Source organism: Homo sapiens, chromosome 2 (genome assembly GCF_000001405.40).
Source record: "Homo sapiens chromosome 2, GRCh38.p14 Primary Assembly".
NCBI lineage: Eukaryota > Metazoa > Chordata > Mammalia > Primates > Hominidae > Homo > Homo sapiens.
Window position 1 is genome coordinate 109,568,279 of NC_000002.12, and position 23,195 is coordinate 109,591,473.

Consider the following 23,195-nt stretch of genomic DNA (forward strand, 5'->3'; position numbering starts at 1 on the left):
GCAGAAAAGGCATGCCAACCCTGACCCAGATGGCCATTCTCCTGTATATATACACCCCTTATACACTCATTCCTACAGATGCCAGCCACACAATCTTTTTTTTTTTTTTTTTTGAGATGGAGTCTCGCTGTAACCCAGGCTGGAGTGCAATGGTGCAATCTCAACTCACTGCAACCACTGCCTTCTGGGTTCAAGCGATTCTCTTCCCTCAACCTCCCAAGTAGCTGGGATTACAGGCACCTCAATCAATGCTTTCAGAAAGCAGAACTCTTGTAAGATTAATCTTTCATTTGAATTTAGGTTTAGAAATCTCACATTTTCTTCTCTCTCAAAATCTTGCAATTTCATCATACACTTAAAAAGTAAAATGTGATAAAAGGTAAACTGAATTGCCTCAATTCACTAAGAATTTTTATTTTTTAATAATCTAAGCACTAAGTAACCAGGGTGATTGATCCCTCAGCAAAACTAAAAGACAGGTGAAGCTTCTCTTTGTGCCTCGTTTCAGGACTGACTCCATGCCTACCTGTGCCCCACTGTCACAGACTTACTTAGACAGCAGAGGAAGGAAACTGTATGTACTACTATCTTAAAAGTGTTCATGATGCAAAGGAATAACTTTCTCAGTATTATTTGAAGTCCTATCACTGACAGAGGGCAAGAGATTTGGGGTTGTGAAGACCGAATAACTTGTAAATCTAGTTCTATAAGATTAATATCCCCACAAAAGACTGATAGCTCCACAAATTTGTGACTGGTGGTTCTTAAGTTTTTTAGTTTGTTTTTCATCAAAAACCTCAGGCTAATCAGTCATATGTATCAAGACAGTAAAACCTCAATGTAATTTTCAGATTAAAAGTAAAAAATTGACTGGGCGTGGTGGCTCACGCCTGTAATCCCAGCACTTTGAAAGGCTGAGGCAGGTGGGTCACCTGAGGTCGGGAGTTCGAGACCAGCCTGACCAAAATGGAGAAACCCCATCTCCACTAAAAATACAAAATAATTAGGTGGGCATGGTGGCACATGCCTGTAATCCCAGCTACTCGGTAGGCTGCGGCAGAAGAATCGCTTGAACCCAGGAGGCAGAGGTTGCAGTGAGCCGAGATCGCGTCATTGCATTCCACACTTCAGCCTGGGCAACAAGAGCAAAACTCTTGTTAAAAAAAAAAAAAAAAAAGGAAAAAATTATAATTCCTATTCTAAATTTTTTTATCTTCTCAAATTTCACATTGATGCCAAGTATATATCTGAATTTATCAGCCTTCCATATGCTCCCAAGGAGAGAAATTTTTTCTGTCTATGAAATTGATGGCAGAAAACTTTCCAGCAATCCTAAGTAAACAACTTTCCTGTTAAATTAGTCAAAGTACATAAACATTTTGGTGCCAAGTCCTTAGTTTCAATATTATATACTTAGGTATTCAACAAATTATGCCAAGTTAATAACTTATAATTGCTTGCACAATAAACTGCAGTAGACTGAATACTAAACATCAATGTTTACATGACTATTAGAGGGAGGGAAAGTAACAGATATTGCCCAAAGAGGGTCGCTTGTCACCAATGGCGTAAGAGAAGATAACTTTCCATGTCAAGCAGTCGAATGTTCTGCTTTTTAGTAACAGAAAACAACTATCTGGAGGTGGCCTGGGGAGTGGCAAGATGAGGTCAGCAAGGACACCACCTCTCATCTTTATGTAGTGCCCTTGTGTAAGTGAAAATTTCCCTACACCTGCCAACTGCCCCTACAAAAAAAAAACCTGTGTATTGCTATTTAAAATGGGCCAAATCAAGTAATTTCAGCATATCCTAGTTTTTCTTTTAAACTTAAAACAAAGCTTAGGGGTTAACTTCCTGTCTAGTTTGTACAATAGAAAGCTAAAGGCAGGATTTTGATAAGGCAGTCCCAATTTTAGAATTTGTCTCTCATCAACTGAATAAGGCAGAAGTGAGTAGTGACCATCTTTAAATGAGTGCATGATACCCATGACCTTTACCGTTACCATAAAATATTTCATTTTGGTTTGAATGAAATAAGGTATTGGTCAAAAGGTAATATTGTAATGCTCATTAATGTCTTTACAGTTGCCCCCCTCATCATCTGTGGGTTCTGCATCCACAGATTCAACCAACTGAGGATCAAAAATATTAGGGGAAAAATTTTTTTAATGACAATACAACAAGAAAAATAATACAAATTTTAAAATACAATATAACAACTATTGACATAGCATTTACATTGTATCAGGTTTTTTTTTTTTTCCAAGACGGAGTCTAGCTCTGTTGCCCAGGCTGGAGTGCAGTGGCGTGATGTTGGCTCACTGCAACCTCCGCCTCCCAAGTTCAAGCAATTCTGCCTCAGCCTCCCGAGTAGCTGGGATTACAGGTGCCTGCCACCATGCCCAGCTAATTTTTTTGTATTTTTAGTAGAGATGGGGTTTCACTGTGTTGGCCAGGCTGGTCTTGAACTCCTGACCTCGTGATCCACCTGCCTTGGCCTCTGAAAGTGCTGGGATTACAAGCATGGGCCACCACACCCGGCCTGTATTAGGTATTATAATGTGTAATCTAGAGATTATTTAAAGTATATGCAAGGATACAAGTAGGTTATATACAGTCATGTGTGGCTTAACCATGGCGACATGGTTTGGATTTGTGTCTTCACCCAAATCTCATGTAAAATTGTAATCCCCAGTGTTGGAGGGGTCTGGTGAGAGGTGACTGGATCATGGGGACAGAGTTGTCCCTTGCTGTTCTTGTGGTAGTGAGTTCTCACGAGATCTGGTTGTTTAAAAGTGTGTAGCACCTCCCCCTGCACTCTCCTCCTCCTTCTCAGGTCATATAAGACATGCCTGCTTCCCCTTCGCCTTCCGCCATGGTTTTAAATTTCCTGAAATCTCCCCAGCCAGGCTTCTTGTACAGCCTAAGGAACTGTAAGTCAATTAAACCTCTTTTCTTCATAAATTACCCAGTCTCAGATAGTTCTTTATAGCAATGCGAGAACGGACTAATAAACATGGTGATAGAAATGCGATAGAAATATGATCTTAGGTGATTTTGATGTTGCGTGAACATCACAGAGTATACTCACACAAACCTGGATGTTATAGCCTATGACACACCTAGGCTGTATGGTATGGCTCATTGTTTCTAGACTATAAGCCTGTACAGCATGTAACTATACTGGATACTGTAGACAACCATAATACAATGGTAAGTGTGTGTATGTAGGCAACTATAATACAATGCTAAGTATGTGTATATCTAAACATATCTAAACACAGAAACATATAATACAGTACAGTAAAAATAAGGTATAATCTTATGGGACCACCATTCTATATTTGGTCCCTTGCTGACTAAAATGTAGTTTTGCACTGCAAGACTGTCCTACACTATTTTATATAAGGAATTTCAGCATCCTCAGGGTATCGAAACCAATCCCCCTTGGATACTGAGGGATGACTAGGAAGCATCTAGAACTAGTTGTTATAAGAGTTTGCAGGTTGAACTGCTGGTTCAAGGTGGACTGCCTCTGAACAAGTGCTCATTAGCTCTTCCATTTATTCCTGAAAATCCACTAAGGGACTACATCAATATAAATTGCTCCTGGCTAACACTTCTTAAAGACTTTTGATGACTCAAAGGTGGTTGGGTTGGCCAGTTACCTCAAATACCAATATGTAAATATCATCAATAAACTGTGCCTGTTAATTTTTAAATAAGTTTTAAATAACACAACAGTAACAGAGGTGCTTCATATATGCCAGGCATTGTACTAAATGCTTCGTAATATTCATCTCAGCTAATCTTCCCAAAAGTCTTAGAGTGAGCTCTCTCTAGCTCCCCACCTCTTTTTTTTTGTTTTTTGAGATGGAGTCTCGCTCTGTCGCCTAGGCTGGAGTGCAGTGGTGTGATCTTGGCTCACTGCAAGCTCTGCCTCCTGGGTTCATGCCATTCTCCTGCCTCAGTCTCCCGAGTAGCCGGGACTACTGGCGCATGCCACGACGCCCGGCTGAATTTTTTTTGTATTTTTAGTAGAGACGGGGTTTCACCGTGTTAGCCAGGATGGTCTCGATCTCCTGACCTTGTGACTTGCCCGCCTCGGCCTCCCAAACCGCTGGGGTTACAGGCACGAGCCACCGTACCTGGCCTCTAGCCCTATTTTATATATGAAAAATTGAATCCAAGTTTGTCCAGGGCCACATAGCTGCTAAGTGGCGGGGCTGAAGCAGAATCCAGGCAGTTCAGCATGACAGCCATGTCCTAACCCCTCTTGACTGCCTGTTTTATACCCGGACAGGTAGACTTCAGCTAACTTTTAAAACAACTTTTTTTTTTTTTTTTTTTTTTTTTGAGACGGAGTCTCGCTCTGTCGCCCAGGCTGGAGTGCAGTGGTGCAATCTCGGATTACCACAACCTCCGCCTCCTGGGTTCAAGCAATTCTCCTGCCTCAGCCTCCTGAGTAGCTGGGGCTACAGGCATGTGCCATCATGCCTGGCTAATTTTTGTATTTTTAGTAGAGACAAGGTTTCACTATGTTGGCCAGGCTGGTCTCAAACTCCTGACCTTGTGATCCGCCTGCCTTGGCCTCCCAAAGTGCTGGGATTACAGGCATGAGCAACCATGTCCAGCCCAACAACCTTCTTATGTAAAATAAGAGGCAGGTATTTTTACAGGGTAGTTTACACTTTTATCATAAAAAATAAAGAATATATTTAAATCACCAAATTTGGAAAAGATTAGATAATATATACTTACACAGTATACTAAAGCAAACTTCTATGGCAGATAGGCTCTTACTGGGTATGCCTATTTGCTAAACCCTCTATTTACATGGATCAATTTAATTAATTTTCATATCTGCCTCTTGAGGTAGTTCTTCTCCCTAGTTTTTATTTAAAAGTGGAGGACACTGAAAATCACTTAAGTCCACTGAGGCTCAGAGGGCTAAAGAAACTTGCAAGATCAGACAGCTAATAAATGACAGAGCCAATATTTAGAGCCGTCCTCCACTGACACCAGCTTCTACAAATCTTTATACAAATTACCTCATGTTGCTCCTCTCTAGCTAAGACAAAACTGCACACTCTTGTTTTTATGTTCCTTTAACAAATATGAATTTCCATATAATCAGACTCAACTATGAAAACAACTGGCTAAATGGTTAGAACATCTGATCACATGTGATCAGGTGAACAGACTGTCATATAAGCTACATCAATTTTTGCTAAAACCAGGGGACCAAGCAACTAGTCAAAAGTAAATCGACCGATGTGCCAAAGCTTCACTAGGCAGGCCTTCAGGCTTTCCATACAGGTTTCTGCAGAGAAAGAAGCAGCATCCAGAACAACCTTGGATTTTTAATTCAACTTATACAGTTAGTAACCAGGATCATGAAAGCTTCATTTCGCATACCATTTGAGATTATGGAAAATTCTAACGTTTCTTTAATGTAAGATTACTGTCTTTAGCCATTTTTTAAACAAATATAAAAATCTGAAGTGAGTTAGTTTATGAATTTTTCTATAGCTCCCTAAATTTATATATAGCTCCTTGGCTTGGAAATTCAAAAATAGGTTTTCTCAGTATGGTCCAAATTAAAATGTATTTTACGACAATATCTAATGCAACATTAGACCTTAATCCTTGTTAATGAAGTTCTTCTCACTTAATAGTGGCATAAAGTAAAATTAGTATCAACTAAATTCTGCATTAAAAATGCAGAGAATACCCATGTTCTGGCATGCAATTTAATCACTACAAAGGAAACTAAAATTTTATTGCAATATTCCTTCTTTGCATCTCATCTTCCAAATTGAATTTCTCTGAAAAAATAAGCTAGATGGAAATATAAAATGTTTTAAAGATTTCCAGGCGCTGGGCATGGTGGCTCATGCCTGTAGTTCTAGCACTTCAAGAGACCAAGGAAGGAAAATCACTTAAGTCCAGGAGTTTGAGACCAACTGGGCAACATACCAAGACATCCAACTCCACAAAAAAAAAAAAATTAAAAAGTTAGCTGGGTGTGGTAGTACATGCCTATAGTCCCAGCTACCTGGGAAGCTGAGGCAGGAGGATCGTTTGAGCCCACGGGTTTGAGGCTGCAGTAAGCCACGATCTCACAACTACCTCCAGCCTGGGTGACAGAGTGACTTTATCTCTAAAAAAAAAAAAAAAAAAAAAAATTTAAAAAAGATGCACAGGATAAAAGTTACAATATATATCCATATTGTAAAAATATTTTAACAGTTAAAAATAAATATTAAAGTATGGTAAGTTGATTCCTTTCCTCAACCCACCTTGCTGTCAAGGTTCTTCATGGTTAAGAGATCAAGTGTCTTCAGAGAGTGGCCTGTCGGTGAAATGAAGTAGAGACACACATGGATGCGAGAATCATGGTAGGTAAAGAGAGAACGCTTAATCTTCAGTTCTTCTTGGAGATAGGCCTCAAACTGAGCATCTATGTAGTCAACTATTGGTTGGTAGCTGAAAAATTATTTAAATGTTTAATACAACATTATTTGTGCTACCTTAAGATATCTGTGCAACTCTTAGAAGTTTGAGGTCTATATTTTCACTAATTAATAAACAGTTAATATCTATGCTGAACAGATTAACTTTAGTGATAAAAAAATGTGCAGAACATGCGCAAAAGCTATACAAATGCTTCTCAACTTACAATGGGGTTATATCCTGATAAATCCATCACATAAGTTGAAAATATTAGCTGAAATGCATTTCATATCCCAATAAACCTATCATAAAGTTGAGAAATCCTAAGTCAAACTATCCTAAATTCAGTATCATTTGTACTTCCGAAACCATCAGGGCAATCTGTGCTTGAAATGGTATTGAATTTACACTGATTCATTCTCATAGTCATTCACATGCTGGGTCCCTTTCTGACAAAGCTTCCCACACTTGCCAGACTGCTCGAAGGGGCTGGCAGCAGTCTAATTTGTAATTACTGGTACCTGGCTTATTATTTAACTAACTGAGAAAATGCATAGGCATCAATAACTCAAAAGACATTTAAGTCAAAGTCCATGACTCTTTGCCTCTTAGATTTATAAGGCACAAAAAGCCTAAGTAAAGAAGAAAGGCATACATCAGTATCTAACTAGTAATGGTGGCACGTTTTTATTTTTATTTAATTATAAACAAAGGAAAGGCCAATTACATCCTCTACTCAGGTAACTCCTCCCTGGAAATGCAGTCTTCCTTCTGGCTATCTCAGGTTATTCAGCCTTCAAGATGCAAATCAAATCACAGTGCATGTGCAGAGCAGTGTGCTAATGCTGTTCCAAGAATGGTGTGTGAGCATTCCATTCAGTTCTGATATGATAAACCACTGCCTTTGCAATTCACTTTTCTACTCTTAACTATTCTCATTAAACAAATCTGGGTTTCCAAGTGAAAATAACAGCAAACAGTTCCCATGTCAAATTCCCTGGAAACCTTTGTAATTATCTTTCTAGCCCTATAATGAACCAGTACCTTGAGCAGCTGAGGTACTTAATAAATGTGTACAAAATTAAATTCTTCTATAAAGTTGCCCGACCTTTTAGTCCTTGAGGATCATCACCTCTTTTAAAATTATAGAATACACATTGTTCTCCCTATGCAAATGGTAAACAATGTGAGGACTGAGACAGTATCTTATACATCTGTATTTTCCACCAGAACTAGCATAGGCCAGGCTCAGTGGCTCACATCTGTAATCCTAGTTGTTTGGGAGACCAAGGCAGGAGGATCACTTGAGGCCAGGAGTTCAAGAACAGCCTGGACAACAACACAGCGAGACCCCCATCTCTACTAAAAAACTTTAAAAATCAGCCAGGCATTGTGAGGTGCCTATAGTCCTAGCTACTTGAGAGGCTAAGGCAGGCAGATCCTTTAAGCCCAGAAATTCAAAGCTGCAGTGAGCTGTGATTGTGCCACTGCACACCAGCCTAGGTGACAACGCAAGATTGTTTTAAATGAATTAAATATATATATATATAGACAGGGTCTCGTTGTGTTGCCCGGGCTGGTCTTGAACTCCTGGCCTTAAGCAATCATCCTGCCTTGGCCTCCCAAAGCGCTGGGATGACAGGCGTGAGCCACCACACCCGGCCTCAAAAAATGATATTTTTTTTAATAAGTAAATAAATAAAAGAAATAGCATAAAACCTTGAACATTACAAGAATTCAATTCATCATCAAAGTGATTATTATAACAACAGTTAAGTGATCCTTTGGAAAGTGGTCTAAATGTGACCCAATAGGATTTACTTTCCAAAAAAATAAAATGGGAAAAATTAATCTGTTAAGTATATATTTCACATAAAAATTCCAAAGAAGCTTTTATTAATGACCTGAAATAGGTCAGTAAGAGGACCTATTATATGACCTAAATAACCATAAATGTACCTCTATCTGAATGTTTTGTCTTATGCTATTCAAGCATGAAAACCGTAAAGATTTTCTGCTAAATAAATAATATGCCATTCTTTCATACTCTGGACAAAAAGATAAAAAATATGAATCAGAGCGATTAAGAGTAAAAGACACAGAAGATATAATGAGAAGATCTAACATATATTTCATCAAAGTTTTCAAAGGAAAAAAACAGAAAAGAGGGCAGAAGCAATATTTACAGAAGAAATGTCTGAGATTTTTTAAAAAGAACTGACGGACACACTATTCAGAGTCAAGAACTCAAACATATCACAAGCAGGGTAAATTAGAAATAATAAAAACCCAGGTACAGCATAGCAAAACTGGATAACAATAAAAACAAAGATCTTAAAAGCATTAGAGGAAAAAAAGGAGAGGACCCTTAAGGGAGACTTCTTAATAGCAAAGATAGAAGCCAGGAGAGAGTGGAATGATATTTCCAATGGAAGAAAGAAAATAACTGGCAACCCAGAATTGTACATCCAACTAAAATTTCAAGTATGTGAGCGACACAGAAATTTTTGGTTAATAGATGGTAATAAACATATACTGGCCATATAATAATACCTCGTGTAGTTAAAAAATAGAGAACTCGGCCGGGCATGGTGGCTCACTGTAATTCCAGCACTTTGGGAGGTCAAGGCTGGAGGATCACCTGAGGTCAGGAGTTCGAGACCAGCCTGGCCAACATGGTGAAACCCTGTCTCTGCAAAAACACAAAAATTAGCTGGGCATGATGGCAGGTGCCTGTATCCCAGGTACTCAGGAGGCTGAGGCAGGAGAACTGCTGGAGTGCAGGAGGTGGAGGTTGCAGTGAGCCGAGATCGCGCCATTGCATTCTAGCCTCAGTGACAGAGTGAGACTCCACCTCAAAATTTAAAAAAAAAAAAAAGAAAAAGAAAGAGAGAACTCGGTCGGATAGTGGCTCACGCCTGCAATCCCAGCACTTTGGGAGGCCAAGGTGAGAAGATCGCTTGAGGCCAGGAGTTTGAAATCAGCCTGGCCAACATGGCAAAATCCCATCTCCACTAAAAATACAAAAATTAGCCAGGTGGGGTGGTGTGTGACTGCAGTACCAGCTACACAGGAGGCTGAGGCTTAAGAATCACTTGAACCCAGGAGGGGGAGGTTACAGTGAGCCGAGATTGCACCACTGCACTTAAGCCTGGGTGACGAAGTGAGACTTTGTCTCAAAAAAAAAAAAAAAAAAAAAAGAGTTAATATATAATAGCAATCAGGAGAAGCGGTTAAATGAAATTTAACTGTTCTAAATTTCATTTCATTGTCTATTTGTATTATCAATGAGAAGTATAAACACTCATCTTCAACTTTAAGTGAAAGATTATGTGTGATAATGTGTAAGAGAACCACTATAAGCATAGAAATCAGGCAAGAAAGGAAAAATAAATATAGAACTGGCAGGACAAACAGGAAACACAAAAAAGATGGTAGATTTAAACCTAAATATGTCGGTAATTACATTAATTTTGAAGGAATTACACGATCAAATAAAGGGTAACCATTGTCAGATTGTGTTTTAAAAGGACAACAATATGCTCAATAAGAAACATGTCTAAAGCACAAGGGCACAGAAAGGTTGAAAGTAAAGGGACTGAAAAACTACACCAAACATACATAGGAAAGCTGCAGACAATACTGACATGGAAGCATTACAAGAGAAAAAAGGTCACTACGTAATAATAAAAGTGTCAATGCTTCAGGATAAAATAAAAATGGAGATTAGAAATCTACTGAAATTGTTGGCCAGGCATGGCAGGCTCATGCCTGTAATCCCAGCACTTTGGGAGGCCGAGGAGGGTGGAATCACCTGAGGTCAGGAGTTCGAGGCCAGTCTGGCCAACAGGGCGAAACCCCATCTCTACTAAAAATACAAAAATTAGCTCGGAGTGCTGGTGGGCACCTGTAATCCCAGCTACTCGGGAGGCTGAGGCCAGGGAATCGCTTGAACCTGGGAGGCGGTGGTTACAGTGAACCGAGATTGTGCCACTGCACTCTAGCCTGGCCAACAAAGTGAGATTCCACCTCAAAAAAGAAAAAAAAAAAGAAATTTACTGAAATTGAAAATACTATGTATCAAACTTGTGGAATGTAGCCTAAGCCACGCTTACAGGGTAGTTTATAATACTAAATGCATAAGGCTGAAAATCAATGAGAAATTGGAACAAAACTCCAAAAGTACAGACGTAAGAGCAGAAAGTAATGAAACAGGAAAAAAGAAAAGCATAAAACTGAAAGGATCAATACAGCCAAAATTTGGTATTTGAAAAGATTAAATAAATTGACAACACTTTGTCAAGACTAATCAATCAGAAAAAGAAAAGCAGCACAAACAACTATTATCAGGAAAGACAGAATATCATTACAGATGATGAAGACAATAAAAAGATATTAAGAGTACATTATCAATATATTTAAACCAGTAATTTGAAACTTTAGATGAAATGGACAGATTCCTGGAAAATTATAACTTACAAAACTGTCTCTCAACAAAGTAAAACCAACTCTGAATTGTCCTATAATCATTTTTTAAAAATTAAACTCAAAATCTTCTTAGAAAACCCCAGGCACTGATTTTTTTTATTGGTTAAGTTCCATCAAATATTCCAGGGAAAAATAACTCTGATCTTGTAACTCCAGGCCCTCCTTTTTTTTTTTTTTTGAGATGGAGTTTCGCTCTTGTTGACCAGGCTTGAGTGTAATGGCCCAATCTTGGCTCACTGCAAACTCTGCCTCCTGGGTTCAAGTGGTTCTCCTGCCTCAGCCTCCTGAGTAGCTGGGATTACAGGCGCCTGCCACCACGCCTGGCTAATTTTTGTATTTTGGTAGAGACGGGGTTTCACCATGCTGGTCAGGCTGGTCTCAAACTCCTGACCTCAGGTGATCCACCCACCTTGGCCTCCCAAAGTGCTGGGATTACAGGCATGAGCCACCACGCCCAGCCAGGCCCTGATTTTCATTGGTTAGTTCTACCAAACATTCCAGGGAAAAATAACTCTAATCTTATGCAAATTTTTCCAGAAAATAGAGAATGAAAACTCCTTAAACTCCTTTTAGAAGGCTAACACAATCTTGATTTAAAATAAATAAATAAATAAAAGGCCAGGCGCAGTGGCTCATGCCTGTAATCCCAGCACTTTGGGAAGCTAAGGCGTGTGGATCACCTGAGGTCAGGAGTTTGAGACCAGCCTGGCCTACATGGTGAAACCCTGTCTCTACTAAAAATACAAAAATTAGCTGGGCGTGGTGGCAGGCGCCTGTAATCCCAGCTACTCGGGAGGCTGAGGCAGGAGAATCGTCTGAACCTGAGAGATGGAGGTTGCAATGAGCCTAGATCGCACCACTGCACTCCAGCCTGGGCGACAAGAGTGAAGTTCCATCTTAAAAAAAGAGTATAAGACAAGAATACAGGCTAAAAAAACTTCACTGATGAACACAGATGCAAAAAAAAACTAAAAGAAAAATATAGCATAATATAAAAAGAACACTATATTATGATCTCAGAATGGTATCTAAAATTATAAGGTTAATTTGCCAATAAAAAAATCAGTTACTCTAACTCACCTTACTAAAGATTAAATGAAAGAAGTCACAATTTCTCCATAAAATGCAAAAAAAAAAAAAAAATCTGGTGAAAGCATATATTAATGATTCTTTAAAAAAAGAACTTTTACTAATAATATAAAGGAATTTCTTTATTTTATCTAAAACAAAACCCAAAACCAACCAAATAAACAAAAAAACCACAACAAAGCAAGCATGGTACATGGTAAAAAATAAAGCTTTCTCTTTGGGATTAGGATGATGAGGGGATGGTGCCCACTACCATCACTGACTATCCTACAAAATACTGCAGGTCCTACCCAGTACAGTCCAGCATTAACAATGAAAGAAAGAAAAATAAAGCCTGTCTTCAGTCATGATAGAGGAACTGGGACTGGATTTATCTTCTCACCTTAAATAACTAGAAACCTGAACAAAATAAATGAAAAAAAGGTTTTAAAACACTGGGAAACAGGCAGTATAAAACTGTGACCACTGAAAAAGGAAATAAATGCCCTCTTTTATGAGCCCTACCATGTCCCAGCTTCCTGACTGGGGACAAGTGTCCCGGGCAGAGCGCAAAGACAGCACAGCGCCTGGCCATTCACTGAGTTGAGGAAACCCAGACAGGAGTTCAAGGAGGCAAAAGCAACATCTGTAGGTTGGAACAGAAGAGAAGAAAGCTGCACAGGCAGGAAGCACTGCACATCTGGAGAGGGCCCCCAAGTCCCTGGCTAAAGAATAATATGCATATGCAGGACAGCAAAATACCCATGACTACGGCCATTTCCTATATTAGAGCTATGCTAGTGGTTACAACATGCTATATGCTTCTGAAAATTCATTTTGAATGTACACTTAAAATCAGTAAAGTTAGGCCGGGAGAGGTGGCTCACGCCTGTAATCCCAGCACTTTGGGAGGCTGAGGTGGGCAGATCACCTGAGGTCAGGAGTTCAACACCAGCCTGACCAACATGGTGAAACCCCGTCTCTACTTTTGCAAAAATTAGCCGGGTGTCATAGCGGGCACCTGTAATCCCAGCTGTTTGGGAGGCTGAGGCTTGAGAATCACCTGAACCCAGGAGGCGGAGGTTGCAGTGAGCCGAGATTGCGCCACTGCACTCCTGCCTAGGCGACAGAGTGAGACCCTGTCTCAAAAAAAAAAACAAAAAAAATCAGTAAAGTTTATTCTATGTACAGTATATATTAATAAAGCTTATTTAAAAAGAACTAAAGAAAGGTCTGGGAAAAAAAAAAAACCTATTTCAGAGCAGTGGCTCCTCTGGGGGAAGAAATGGGACTGAACACACGGGAATGGCTAAAGTGCATTCCAACTGATCTGTACCATTTGGTATTTTCACAGAATCGTATTTATATACTGCTTCATTAATTGATAGAATACAAACAATCCAACAAATAAGTTAATGAGAAAAAACAAGTTATAAAATAGGCAAAAGATGAAAGCATTCCCCTTGAGAACTGAAACAAGATATGCCTGAGCTCACCATTCTTATTTCACACAGTACTTGAAAGTCCTGGCCAGAGAAGTCAGGCAAGAGACAGAAATAAAAGGCATCCAAATAGGAAAAGAAAAAGTCAAATTATCTCTCTGCAGACAATATAATTTCATACCTAGACAACTCTAAAGACTCCGCCAAATGGCTCCTGAACTGATATACAACTTCAGTGAAGTTTCAAGATGCAAAACCAATGTACAAAAATCAGCAGCATTTCTGTATATCAATAATGGTCAAGCTGAGAGCCGTATCAAGAACACAATGCCATGTACAACAGACACACACACACACACACACACACACACACACACACACTCACTCTCACGCAAAAACCTAGGAATATATCTAACCAAGGAGGTGAAAGGTATCTGCAAAGAGAACTACAAAACACTGCTGAAAGAAATCACAGATGACACCGACAAACTGAAAAAATGCTCATGGAATCAATATAGTTGGAAGAATCAATATAGTTAAAACGGCCATACTACCCAAAGCAATCTACAGACTCAACGCTATTGCTGTTTTTTTGTTTTGTTTTTGAGAAGGTATCACTCTGTCCACCCAGGCTGGAAGGGCAGTGGCATGATCACGGCTCACTGCAGCTTCGACTTCCCAGGCTCAAGTGATAGTCCCACTTCAGCCTCCCGAGTAGCTGGCAGTATAGGTGCCCACCAACATGCCTGGTTAATTTTTTAAAATTTTTTGTAGAGACGAGGTCCCACCATGTTGCCCAGGCTAGTCTCAAGACTCCTGAGCAAGCGATCCTCTCTCCTTGACCTCCCAGAGTGCTAGGATTACAGGCGTAAGGCACCACAACTGGCCTCAATGCTATTTCTATCAAACTACCAATGTCATTTTTCACAGAATTAGAAAAAACTATTCTAAAATTCATAAAGAAACAAAAAAGAGACTGAATAGCCAAAGCAATACTAAGCAAAAGAACAAAGCCTGAGGAATCACATTACCTGACTTCAAACTATACTATAAGGCTACAGTAACCAAGACAGCATGGTTGTGGTATAAAAACAGACAAATAGACCAATGGAATAGAACAGAGAACCTAGAAATAAAGCCGCACACCTACAGGCATCTGATCTTCAACAAAGCTGACAAAAATAAGCAATGGGGAAAGGACTCTCTATTCAATAAATGGTGCTAGGATAACTGGCTAGCCATATGCAGAAGAATGAAACTGGACCCCTATGTTTTACCATAAACAAAAATTAACTCAAGATGGATTAAAGACTGAAATGTAAGACCTCAAATAAAAGAATCCTGGAAGAAAACCTAGAAAGCACCATGCTGCACATTGGCCTTGGAAAAGAATTTACGATTAAGTCCTGAAAAGCAAATGCAACAAAAACAAAAATTGCCAATTAAACTAAAGAGCTTCTACATAGCAAAACAAACCATCATCAGAGTAAACAGACAACCTACAGAATGGGAGAAAATTTTTACAAACTATGCATCCAACAATAGTCTAGCAGCCAGAATCTGTAAGAAACTAACAACTAAACAAGGAAAAAACAACCCCATTAAAAAGTGGCCAAAAGACATGGACATACAAGCAGCCAACAAACATGACAAAACGCTCAACATAACTCATCATTAGAGAAATGCAAATCAAAACCACAATGAGATACCATCTCACAACAGTCAGAATGGCTATTATTAAAAAGTCAAAACACAACAGATACTGGCGGGGCTGTAGAGAAAAGGAAATGCTTGTACCCTGCTGGTGGGAATGTAAATTAATGCAGCCACTGTGGAAAGCAGTTTGGAGATTTCTCAAAGAACTTAAACCAGAACTACCATTCGACCCAGCTATTCCAACTTGGAATATATCCAAAAGAAAATACCTCATTCTACCAAAAAGACACATGTACTCATATGTTTCATCATAGCTCTATTCACAATAGCAAAGACATGGAATCAACCTAGCTGCCCATCAACGTGGACTGGATAAAACAAGTGTGGTACATACCTACCATGGACTACTACACAGCCATAAAAAAGAACAAAATCAAGTCTTTTGTACCAACATGGATGAAGCTGGAGGCCGTTATCCTAAGCAAATTAACTCAGGAACAAAAAACCAAATACCATATGTTCTCACTTATAAGTAAGTGGGATCTAAACATTGGGTACACATGGATATAAAGATGGCAACAACAGACACTGGGACTACTAGAGTGGGAAGGAAGATACCCGGTAAAGGCTGAAAAACTAACTATTGGTACTATGCTCACTACCTGGGTAATTGGATCACTTGTACCCCAAACCTCAGCATCACACAATATACCCATGTAATAAACCTGCAAATGTACCCCAAATCTAAACGAAAAATTGAAATTATTTTTTAAAAGGAAAAAAATTACTTACAAAAATGGAAATAAGACTGGGCGCAGTTGCTCACGCCTGTAATCCTAGCACTTCGGGAGGCCGAGGTGGGTAGATCACCTGAGGTCAGGAGGTCGAGACCAGCCTGGCCAACAAGGTGAAACCCGTCTCTACTAAAAACACAAAAAAAATTAGGTGTGGTGGCAGGTGCCTGTAATCCTAGCTACTCGGGAGGCTGAGGCAGGATAACCGCTTGAACTGGGGAGGTGGAGGTTGCAGTGAGTCGAAATCATGCCACTGCACTCCAGACTGGGTGACAGAGCGAGACTCTGTCTCAAAAAAAAAAAAAAAAAAAAAAATTGAAACACATTTCAAAAAGGAAAACGAACAAAAAGTTATTGCTTTACCAATCCTTTTCCCCCTTTCATAGTTTAAATTTGATAGAGCATAGAATCTCTACTCAATCTTTATACGACCTTAGGAGAAATATTAAAACAAATAGAGACACAAGGTAAAATATAAATTAAAATTTCACTATCAAAACTTTCCTGCAATGATTAATAATGTAACTGGCTAATTTGATTATAATTTTACAAAAAATTCAAGCATCATGTATTTGGCCATTGTATATATTGTTCTTATATGTCTTGTATTTTTTTTCTTCAAGGAGATAAGCCCTGCCTGAAAATTAGTATAATTAATATACACTGAATTTGCATGTCAGGAAATAATTAAAGCTACTTTTGCTGAAATGCACATTTTAATAAGGTGATTCAAATTATTCTAAAGAAATTAGACAAATGGCTAGAAAAATGTCAATGTGCTAATAAGAACAAAATATTGTTTAATTATTTTATTTTTAAAACAATGTGTGGAAGGAAAGGTATGGATTACCATAGGAGAAAATCAAATCATAGTTCATGGGGCTATAAGGCGAATGTCTTGAAATAAGAAAAACTTGTTTTATTACAAGAAGAAAACACATACCTCTCTTCTTTATTTATTTGGTCACCAAATCCCACTGTATTCACAATGGTCAATTTCAATTGAACATTACTTTCCTGGAGTTCATATGTCTGAGCTTTAAGTTTAACATTTGGGCAAAAATGTGAGGATTCATAGTCTTCAAAATTAGTATTAAACAATGTGTCAATCAGTGTTGATTTTCCAATTCCAGTTTCCCCTGAAACACACAAAGGTACATCTTTATGGTTGCATGAATGGCTGAAAAGAAATACAACTGTAAATGCCTAGAGTGGTTTCAAAGATCCCAAATATTTCAAAGGCCAGGGTGCGCATGAAAGAAATACACACTACGGCTGGTCCCCCAAGTCATTAGCAGAGCATAGAGTAAGTGTGCTAAGCTACTCAGGACTCTGACAACAACACTGAGATGTTTATATAACAAGCCAAAAGCTTAAAGCTAAGAAAAACAAAACTAACAGAATCTAAACAACTAAAGAGAATCCCTGGGATCATGATTTCAAATTGATAACATGAGCATTGTTCTGCCCATGACAAGAATGAAGTGAGCACAAGGAATATGAAGGAACAACTTAGAGGAAGAGTAGGTGGCACGTACCCACACAGAGAATATTAAAGCAGAAACCTTGCTGAATGGATCTGTTCACCAGCTGATCAGGCAAACTCTCAAAACCAACATGGCCAGACATAGTCAACGAACGAATGTTTTCTCTTTTCTGAAGGAAAATAAAAACAAAAACAACAGCAATAAAAAAAACAACTTTGACTTAAATAGGATGTAGGCACACTTGAAGGACAAATATATCAAATAAATGAAAATTTTTATAATCATTATACCTCACCTAAGATACAAGCGATTAAGTAAATTTTCAGGAAAAGAAACCTGTGTCCAGATCCTCAAAACATACATTTCTTATCCCCTTCATACAACGAGAGTCTAGCACTATGTATAACATTAAAACATTCGATTTCCAAAATAGGAAAATATCCAACTATGGCATATTCACTTACAAAATAAAAAGTTAAAGTCCATTTGTTTATGATAAAAACTTAGAAAATTCTTACATTAAAATGTCAAGTGAAAAAAAAGCACAAAACAAAAGTACAGATACAGGTTCAGCTCCTGGTAATGGCAGAGTAACTTAGGTCAAACTTACCTGCCTACTGGTAACAATTACAAGCAACCCTTTTAAGTCACTAGAGTGCAACCAAAGGCAGATAGACACTGGACAGAATAAGACTTGAGGGAAGGAAACTTATCAGGTGAGATGAGTTTATCTAGCTTTTTCCCTGAAGGCACTCCCTAGTCATTATGGCAAAAGGAAGATAGAGCTCAGGAGGGAAGTTATAGTCTTAATGGGTTAAGATGTCCATTGGAGATTGGGGCAGGCAGATTGGTTGGGAATTCAGGGAGAAAATTCCAGAAAGAAGGGAGTCCAAAATCTACAAACACACTCCACTCAAATCCATGGCTGATGGCCAAACTGCACACATACAGAGGGAATACAAAGATCCCAGAAGGGGGAAAATGGGAATTGGGAGGAGCTATGCAGAGTTTTCAAGTGCCATCTTGGAGAGATGGACAGAGCTTAAATTTTAAGCCTGTAAGTTAAAGAGTCTCCTGTAAACACCCTAGGCCTTCTACTGAAACCCTAGATGGGCCACATTTTAGGAGTAAGGTCCATAACTCAGCAATCAGAAAGCACAGCTGAAGCAGACCTGCCTTAACAAAGCCTGTAACAAGGCTCAACATGATCAATGTGATCAGTCAGCAATTTAATTGCCTGTTAGAACAAAGTTCAAGACTCTGCAGAAGAAGAAAACAGAATCTAGCATCTCTACAGTATCTACTATACAATAAAAAAATTATGACAGGAAAAAAACAGAAAAATGTGATTCACAGTCAAGAAAGAAAGTCAACAGAAAGAGAGCCACAATGAACCAGATGTTTAATTAGCAGGTAAGAACTTTAAATAATGATAACAAATATGCTAAAGAATCTACAGGAAAAAGATGGATATAATGGGTGGCATGACGGGGAATTACAGAAAGATATGAAAGAGCTCGCAACGACAAAAAGCAGCAGACAGAATTTCTAGAATGTAAAAATGCAACATCTGAAGTAAAAAATATATTTAGTACTAACAGCAGATCAAATAATGGAAGACAGATTTGTTCAATAGTTATTATCCAAGCTAAAAATCTCACAGAAAGAAAAAAGATAAAACTATGACAGTCTTAAAAACTTGTGTGAGAGTATCAAATGATCTAACATACCAGTAATTGGAATACAAGGAGAAAAGTTAGAGAAAGAGAGAAGGTGAAAGTGGGGGGTAGGAGGGAGGGAAAAAAATATCTAAATAATAGTGACTGAAAACTTTCTAATTTTCTAAACTTGAACTCAGAGATACAAGAATTTCAGCAAACTACAAACAGGAAATATCCAAAGGAACTCACATCTAGGGACATCACAGCAAACTGCTAAAAAACAAGGATAATGAAAACTTTAGGCCTGGTGTGGTGGCTCACGCCTGTAATCCCAGCACTTTGGGAGGCCGAGGCGGGTGGATAACAAGGTCAGGAGATTGAGACCATCCTGGCTAACACGGTGAAACCCTGTGTCTACTAAAAATACAAAAAATTAGCCAGGTGTGGTGGCACGCACCTGTAGTCCCAGCTACTCAGGAGGCTGAGGCAGGAGAATCGCTTGAACCTGGGAGGTGGAGGTTGCAGTGAGCTGAGATCGCACCACTGCACTCCAGCCTGGGTGACAGAGCAAGACTCCATCTCCAAAAAAAAAAACAAAAACAAACACACACAAAAATTACCCGGGCGTGGTGGCACCTATAATCCCAGCTGCTCAGGAGGCTGAGGTGGGAGGATCACTTAAACTCAGAAGGCGGACATTGCAGTGAGCTACAGATGTTGCTTAAGAAACAATGCAAACCAGAAGACAAAACAATGACCCCTATAAAATGCCCCCCGCCAAAAAAAAAAGACATCGTAGAATTCTACAGCCAATGAAAACATCCTTCAAAAATGAAGGCAAAATGAAGACAACTTCAGATAAACAAAATCTGAGAAAATCCACTGCCAGTTGGCCCACAGTATAAAAAATGATCAAAGTTCTTCAAGAGAAAGGAAAATGACAACAGATCTACAAAAAGGAATGAAGATCATCAGAAAGGTAAATATGTGGGTAAATGTAAGAGAGGTTTTTTTTAACTTCTTGAAAATACAAATGTTTAAAGCAGTAACAAAAACAATGTGTTACAGGTTACATGCACAAGTAAAATGTATAAGAAACACAAAATACAGGAGGACTGAAGGAATATTGTTATAAGGTTTCTACAGTATACATAAAGTGTTATATATACAAATTTTTTTTTAAGATGGAGTTTTGCTCTTTCGCCCAGGCTGGAGTGAAGTGGTATGATCTTGGCTCACTGCAACCTCCGCCCCCCAGGTTCAAGGGATTATCCTGCCTCAGCCTCACGAGTAGCTGGGATAATAGGCGCCCACCACGCCTGGCTAATTTTTGTATTTTTAATAGAGATGGGGTTTCACCGTGTTGGCCAGGCTGGTCTCAAACTCCTGACCTCAGGTGATCCACTTGCCTCAGCTTCTCAAAGTGCTAGGATTACAGGCGTGAGCCACCATGCCAGGCTAAAATATTATATTATTTGAAGGTTGGGTGTGGTAAGTTAAAGCCTAGGTCAATTACTATTAAAAAAAAAAAAAAAAAAGCGAAAGAGGTATAGCTAATAAGCCAAAAGCAGAAATGAAATTGAGTCATAAAAATTCTCTATTAATCCAAAAGAAGGTAGGAAAGAAGAAAATGAAAGGACAATGGCACATATAGAAAATTAGTTATCAAGAAAATGTAAAATGTCCACCTCCCGAGTTTAAGTGATTCTTCCACCTCAGCCTCTGGAGTAGTTGGGATTATAGGCGCCACCACGCCTGGGTAATTTTTGTGGTTTTTTTGTTTGTTTGTTTGTTGTTGTTGGTTTGTTTTGTTTTTTGTTTTTCTTTTTTGAGATGGAGTCTCACTCTGTCACCCAGGCTGGAGTGCAGTCGTGCGACCTTGGCACACCGCAACCTCCACCTCCCAGGTTCAAGTGGTCAGGTCAGGTGCGGTGGCTCATGCCTATAATCTCAGCACTTTAGGAGGCCAAGGCAGGCAGGTTACTTGAGGCCAGGAGTTTGAAACCAACCTGGCCAGCATGACAAAACCCCATCTCTACCAGAAATACAAAAATAGCTGGGCATGGTGGTGCATGCCTGTAGTCCCAGCTACTCCGGAGGCTACAGCATGAGAACCGCTTGAACCTGAGGCGGAAGTTGCAGTGAGCCAAGATCCTGCCACTGTGCTCCAGCCTGGAAGACAGAGCAAGACTCTGTCTCAAAAAAATTAATAAAAATAAAAATAAATAAAAAGTAACATTGAATATCCAATAAAACAGCTAAAATTAAAAGGCTGAACATGTCAAGTGTTGGAGATAATGAAGAAATGGAATGCTGATAAATTTGCTAGTCTGCAAAATGGTACAGTTGCTTTGGAAACTAGCTTGGCAGTTTCCTATGAAGTTAAACACATATTATTATATAGCCAAAAAAAACCCGCTTGGAGGTATCCAAAATAATGAAAACATATGTCCACCCAAGAACTTATGCATCAATGTTCACAGCAGTTTTATTCCCAATGGTCAAAAACTGGAAAGATTCCAAATATCAAACAAGTGGTGAATAGATAAACAAACTGTAGTATACTAAACTACTGATACGTGTCACAACATGGATGACTAGCTAGGTATCCCAATAGTGATTTATTTACTGAGGTCAGAGTTTTTAAAAATATGCATTATGTGCATTTTTCACATAATCATATATATATATACACACACATATATACACACATATATATGTGTGTGTATATATATACACACACATATATATGTATATATATACACACATATATATGTATGTATATATATACACACATACAGATGTAAATATCTCGAAGGGTAATGACAGACTATTGAGAGTGGTTACCAGTCAGCAGTAGACTTACAGGTTGGGGTGAGAAGAAATCGCTTTTTATTGTATATGGTTGGCAGAATTCTCAGATGGTCGCTAACACCGATGCCCCTGGTGCACACAAACTTTCTCCCAGTTATTAAATCAAACGCTAACCTAGGTGTCTCTGAGAAGAGATTTTACAGAGTGATTAAGGTCCCAAACCAGTCAGTCTTCGGAAGGGAGACTATCCTGGTTGGGCCTGACCTAATGAGGTAAATCCTTTTTTTTTTTCCTTTTTTCTTTTGAGACAGAGTTTTTGCTCTGTTGCCCAGGCTAGAGTGCAATGATGTGGTCTCAGCTCACTGCAACCTCTGCCTCCTGGGTTCAAATGATTCTCCTGCCTCAGCCTCTCGAGCAGCTAGGATTATAGGTGCTTGCCACCACAGCTGACTAATTTTTGTATTTTTAGTAGAGACAAGGTTTCACGTCGGTCAGGCTGGTCTCGAACTCTTGACCTCAGGTGATCCACTCGTCTGGGCCTCCCAAAGTGCTAGGATTACAGGTGTGAGCCATTATGCCCAGCCATGAGGTAAATCCTTAACAGGGCCTGGGCACTTCCTGGCCAAAGACATGAAGCATGAAGAGAACTCCACCTGCCAGTTCTCCCTTGCTGGCTTTCAGAATGGAGTGGTCTCTAGGAGCTGACAACAACCCCCAGCCAGCAGGGAACTGAATTCTGCCAACAACCAGAAAGAGTATGGAAGGAAAGCCTCCAGATAAGAACCCAGCAGCTGACCCCTTGAGTATGAAACCCAGAGCAGAGAAGGAAGATGGGCCACGTCTGGCCTTTGACCTATAGAACTGAGAGCTAACAAACAGATGCCGTTTTAAGCCGCTAAATTTGTGACGATTTGTTATGCAGCAACAGAAAACTAGTACACTATATTCTCTTTTGTGCCATTTGAATCATTTTTAGTCATGTAAGCATGTTATCTTCATATTTTTTTAAAGAGCACTGAAGAAGCACTAGGCTTCTTCCTCGTGAAAGTGTTCAAGATGGTAAGAACTTCATAACTTGTTAAAGTTGTTATCTGATAGGCATATGCTTATTACATAAAAGTTGAACTAAATGGCCTCTAGGATCCCTTCTAGTTTAGTTCTACAATGACAGGATTTTAATGTCACTGGAAAAAAGCATTTCAAAAATGAGGGTGTGGTCCCCATGATGTAACACAAAAGAGGGGCCAGGGAAAAAGAAACCAAGCAACAGCCACTGGATGGACTAGTCACTAAAGATTACTAGTGACTCTGACAGTAATCTCTGGAGGA

The 23,195-nt window shown here is 39.2% G+C and overlaps 2 protein-coding genes across 36 annotated transcripts in view; one reads left to right on the forward strand and one right to left on the reverse strand.

Moving 5' to 3' along the window:
• Window positions 1-23,195, forward strand: part of RANBP2 (RAN binding protein 2) — a 1,122,820-nt gene that overhangs the window by 848,797 nt on the left and 250,828 nt on the right. The gene's annotated exons all lie outside the window — the stretch shown is intronic.
• Window positions 1-23,195, reverse strand: part of SEPTIN10 (septin 10) — a 71,168-nt gene that overhangs the window by 25,480 nt on the left and 22,493 nt on the right. For 19 of the 35 annotated variants that reach the window (NM_001321502.2, NM_178584.4, XM_011510699.3 and 16 more), the window contains 3 exons: window positions 17,443-17,560; window positions 16,848-17,043; window positions 6,303-6,489 (listed from right to left, as the gene is read on the reverse strand). The exons of 6 other annotated variants lie outside the window; for them this stretch is intronic. In NM_001321502.2, coding sequence (NP_001308431.1) covers window positions 6,303-6,489; window positions 16,848-17,043; window positions 17,443-17,560 — 501 coding nt within the window. The remainder of the gene's footprint in view (window positions 1-6,302; window positions 6,490-16,847; window positions 17,044-17,442; window positions 17,561-23,195) is intronic. 10 more of the 35 variants (NM_001321508.2, NM_001321505.2, NM_001321504.2 and 7 more) reach the window with 2 other exon arrangements.